General features: G+C 38.3%; 1 long non-coding RNA gene across 1 annotated transcript; it reads left to right on the top strand.

The window, feature by feature from the left end:
* The first annotated feature begins 282 nt into the window (after window positions 1–282).
* Window positions 283–4468, top strand: LINC00380 (long intergenic non-protein coding RNA 380). Its single transcript, NR_104057.1, has 3 exons — window positions 283–303; window positions 2105–2200; window positions 4188–4468. It is a non-coding gene; the product is annotated as a long intergenic non-protein coding RNA 380 (long non-coding RNA).
* Window positions 4469–4843: the final 375 nt, after the last annotated feature.

The following is a 4843-nucleotide window of genomic DNA, read 5'->3' as shown; positions in this document are numbered from 1 at the left end:
GGAGTGCAGTGGCAAGATCTCGGCTCACTGTAAGCTCTGCCTCCCGGGTTCACGCCATTCTCCTGCCTCAGCCTCCCGAGTAGCTGGGATTACAGGCGCCTGCCACCACGCCAGGCTAATTTTTTGCATTTATAGTAGAAACGGGGTTTCACCGTGTTAGCCAGGATGGTCTTGATCTCCTGACCTCGTGATCTGCCCGCCTCGGCCTCCCAAAGTGCTGGGATTACAGGCATGAGCCACCGCGCCCGGCCCCGGGTACAAGTGATTCTCCTGCCTCAGCCTCCCAAGCAGCTGGGACTACAGGTGTGCACCACCACGCCCAGCTAATTTTTGTATTTTTAGTAGAGAAGGGGTTTCACTGTGTTAGCCAGGATGGTCTCGATTTCCTGACCTCCTGATCCGCCCGCCTAGGCCTCCCAAAGTGCTGGGATTACAGGCGTGAGCCACTGTGCCCGCCCCTAAATGGCTATGTTTTAATATGTAACACCACCTCTTCTGCTTTTTAAAAATTGCCTTTTAAAAGGACTTTCAAAGATTTAGCCAAGGGAGTATTGGTTGGGCTTCGGGCCCTAGAACAGTTTGTGGGAGGGATATGGTGTTCTCAGAGACCTACAGATAACACTGCACAAACGGTTCCTGGCCTTGTAAATACCAGTTTCTGGAACAGAGTTTCTGAATTTCTGTCTTAGAAATTATGTATTTAATAAATGTGAGAATAATTTGTATCACATTATCTTATCGAGGCTGCTTTGTGTTGTTTTATTTGGCAGAGGCATTTAATTTAACAGATATTTACTGAGTGCCTCCTATGGACTGGGAATAACAATAGTAGTAAAAACATATATAATGTCACTCTGTGCTAGGCATTCTTCCTAATATTTCTTTATATTGATTCATTTTAACCCTCACAGCAATGCTATGATGTAATTACTCTCATTAACGTATCCATTCTACAGATGAGAAAAACTGAGGGGTTATGTAACCTGCCCCAGGTCACACAGCTGGTGAGAGGTGAATTTGGTTTGAATTCTCACATTAGGCTCAAGTCTGCTGGTTGGCTTAATGTTGGAAGAGATGATAAGTGGTCCATTTCAAAGATAATTTTGTGTATACATGTAATAAAAACAACAAATGTGAATTAGATTTGTGCAGAATGATTCTAATTATGAAGCAATTGCTTTTTAAGTAGCATTATTTTGTTCACACTAATAGTTTTTTCTCAAAATTAATTATTTCTTCCATAATCTCTTCTGACAAATAATGCTAGTTTTGCATGTAAGTAGAAGCAAATTTTACAGAAATAGAACGTGTAGGTTTTTACAGGACAGTGTAACATTTCTGCTTTTTAATTTATAGATGATTAAAAATCTTCTATTGATAGGGGCCTCTCCTCTCCTAGAAAAGAAGCTTTACAAAAGACTTAAAAACCTATATTTAAGATATGTATGCTATTTAAACTGATCAAAAGTGCAAACATAATTTGATACCCTTTAAATGTATTTATGAAATATCTTTAAACTTTCTTATTGACATTTCTCTGTGAAGAGACCATCATGTGCTTTGTATTCCTACTTTTAATTAAAAGCCACTAGCGTGCATGTAAACGTTTTAGAATGAATTTTGTAAATATTTCACAATTATCTCAGCCAAAACCCAAACCACACACAATATTCATTGTAATAGATGCAAGTACGCAGGGAGAACTCGTTTTCAGATCTTATGTTTGCTTATTAGATGTTGAAAAATATAGTAATGATGTACCAGTGGAAATAATTTAGGTCCACGGATTTATCAGGATATCTTGTTGAAAACGTTATTTACATCTGTACTGTCTTCTGTATGTGTAGAAAAAACGAACTATTCTTCCAGTTAATTCATTCTAAATTGAGAAATTGCTTAGAAATTAAGACAGAGAAAATAATCGTTACTACTCTGTAAATGAACAAAAAGAAATGATTAGAGAAGACATTAACTGTTTCAATATTTTGTTTCTTTTGTTGACTTGAATAAATGTTCTACATTTTTGTTATAAAACATGACTTTTTATGTCAAACGTTCTCCTTAATACTGTTGATTTGTTGGTGACACGTGGCTCCCTTTCTAGAAGTAGGATGGTGACACCTCAGCCCTTCTGCGAGAAAAACAAGGGTGATCCACATCCCCCATCCCTCATCTTAAAGTCAGGTTCATAACGGATAAGGTAAGCTTTCTAATGACTTCACAAATAACCAACCTCAATCAACTTTGGTAATTGATAAAATCATCACTTAACTTTCTGATATAATGGCAATAATTATCTGAGAAAAAAAAGTGGTGAAAGATTAAATTTGCATTTCTCTCAGAATCTTGAAGGATATTTGAATAATTCAAAAGCGGAATCAGTAGTATCAGCCGAAGAAACTCACTTAGCTAGAACGTTGGACCCATGGATCTAAGTCCCTGCCCTTCCACTAACCAGCTGAATGGTTTTGTGTAAACCTCCTACACGCTTGGGCTTGGTCACCTCATTTGTCAAAGTAAAGGCTGAAATAGGAAGATAATGAACCGTGTCTTTTTGGTCTCTTTTCCATCCATTACTCTGATTTTACAAAGAGGCCTGTATTCCCCTGGTGAGGTTGAAGATGAATCAGGTTTGAAAGCCCCCTGGAAGTGGACAAATGATTATCAGAAGACCTCTCAAAGTGTAACTAGTTCACTGAGCACCTACTACTTTCTTCACAGGTCTCTGAAAGGCCAGCAGGATGCTACCTCCTTATCCCTGTCAGTGCCACACCCACTAGCAATGGGTAATGTGATCTCATTAGAGTCCATAGAGTCTGTGTCTTAGAATCTAATATCTCAACATTAAAAATATGTCAGAGAAAGGGATTTGCTTTCACTTTTTCCCAGAGCAGTGCTTTTTAGAAAATTGATACCAGGCCCAAAATTAATTATATTAAATCACAATTGATCAAAAAACTAAATTTATCTGACATGGATTACTTTTAGACATGTCTAGTCTTTTGCAACGGTTATAAGAGATTTTTTATTTTTGCTATCATTTTATGTTAAAAAAACTATTTTCAAATGTATGTCATATGATTCCTGACTTCGATTGGGGCTGCTCTGAAGCAGACCCTGAGACGAGGATTTGGGTGAACATGGTTGGTTTATTAGGAAATATATCCAGGAAAAACACATAGATGGGCGGGGACCTGAAACAGAGATGGGAAAGGAAGTGAAGGAAAGGGAAGAAATCCAAACAAGCTTGCATTATATAGTTAGACTTCATGGAAAACATCTGTGGCTCAATCCAGTAAAGAGGATGTGGAGATAAGGCCTGTCACTTCTTAGATTTGTTCCCATCAGGGATGAGGGTGCTGAAGTATTTACAACTGCACCATCAGTCATGATGGGGATATGTACGTTTCTAGGCATGTTTGCTTTTTCCTGTGTGTAGTCAGAGGGTTCTGGCAGATGGAGGTAGGCCTCCAACAAAGAGAGCACGTGCTGCCTCAGAGAATAAAAATGAAAGACATAAGCAAAGAGATGTGAGAGTTACAGGCAGAATACTGACAAGGTCCGCTGCAGGTCTGTTCTATTTACATTCCACGAGCAATCATGAAGCTGATGAAATATTATTTAATGAAGTTATTTTGTACAAAGAACAGGGCAGTAGATCCTGTTCATCTGTTTTACAGATTAATATCTGTATTGATGAGGGCATTGCAGGAAGCAGATGGTCCACCACACTGGGTAACTTTATATTATTTAAAAATTTTTTTAATTTTTAATTTTTGTGGGTACATAGTAGGTGTATATATTTATGGGGTACTTGAGATGTTTTGATACAGGCATGTAATGCATAATAATCGCATCATAGAGAATGGGGTATTCATCCCCTCAAGCATTAATCCTTTGTGTTACAAACAATCCAGTTATACTCTTTTAGTTACACACTGGGTAATTTGAGGAGACTTTAATCAAAGGGCTATTTAGTAAGGTGAGGGCAGAGGGTTAGGAACCCATGAGGGATCAGTGCAGAACTGGTGGTGGGCTGAATGTCCATGCTTAGATTGGAAGGGGTAAGGAGAAGAAGCATAAAAATGCTGTGTGAAGAGAAGCAGGGTCTTCCTCAGTTGGTGGGAAGCCTGCCAGGGGAGTGGACACTGTGTCTCACGTTCTGCCTTCCTTCCCTTTCCTGCCAGGCCTCTGATCAGCCAAATAACAAGCTGGAGGACTCAGGAGGCCCTTGCTTTGGTTCCTATTGGAACAATACAACATAGAACAGGGCCAAGAAAAGGGCAAAGGAAATACAAAAGGACGCCTGGAAGATTTGCACAGGGCAAAGGATGACTTGCTGAGTTAATTTAAAGTGATGTAAATTGCTAAGACAACACTGCAAAGCATTCATATCATTTTTTTTTTCAAGGAAGAAAATCTAAACATTTTCCTCAGGATCTTCAATAATAAAAATCTATTTATCAAACATGAACTTCTTTTTCTACCCTTTACCAGACTTCCCTACTTACTTGTCTAGAGCAGTTACTAAGAGAGAAATAACCTGATCCTTAGTAGTTCTTTCTTATTACCTGGCAATGAGGCCTTTCCCAGTGCCTCAAGATTTGACCTTTGACTTCATTTCCTATTTATCTCATAATGCCTGAGTTTTTATGGCCTTCTCAACATAAAACATTTTCTTTGGTCACATACATTCCTTTCTTTTTTCTTAAGATTAAATAGGTTATTTCTTATAATTACATAGTGTATGTTTACTATAAATAATACCAATTTTGAAAAATGCTAATAAAATTACCTTTAGTCCACCAACCAGGGAATAATAACTCATAACACATTGCTGTAT

This window comes from Homo sapiens, chromosome 13 (genome assembly GCF_000001405.40).
Source record: "Homo sapiens chromosome 13, GRCh38.p14 Primary Assembly".
In the NCBI taxonomy this organism is placed as follows: Eukaryota; Metazoa; Chordata; class Mammalia; order Primates; family Hominidae; genus Homo; species Homo sapiens.
This window is presented reverse-complemented; position numbering and strand designations above follow the sequence as displayed.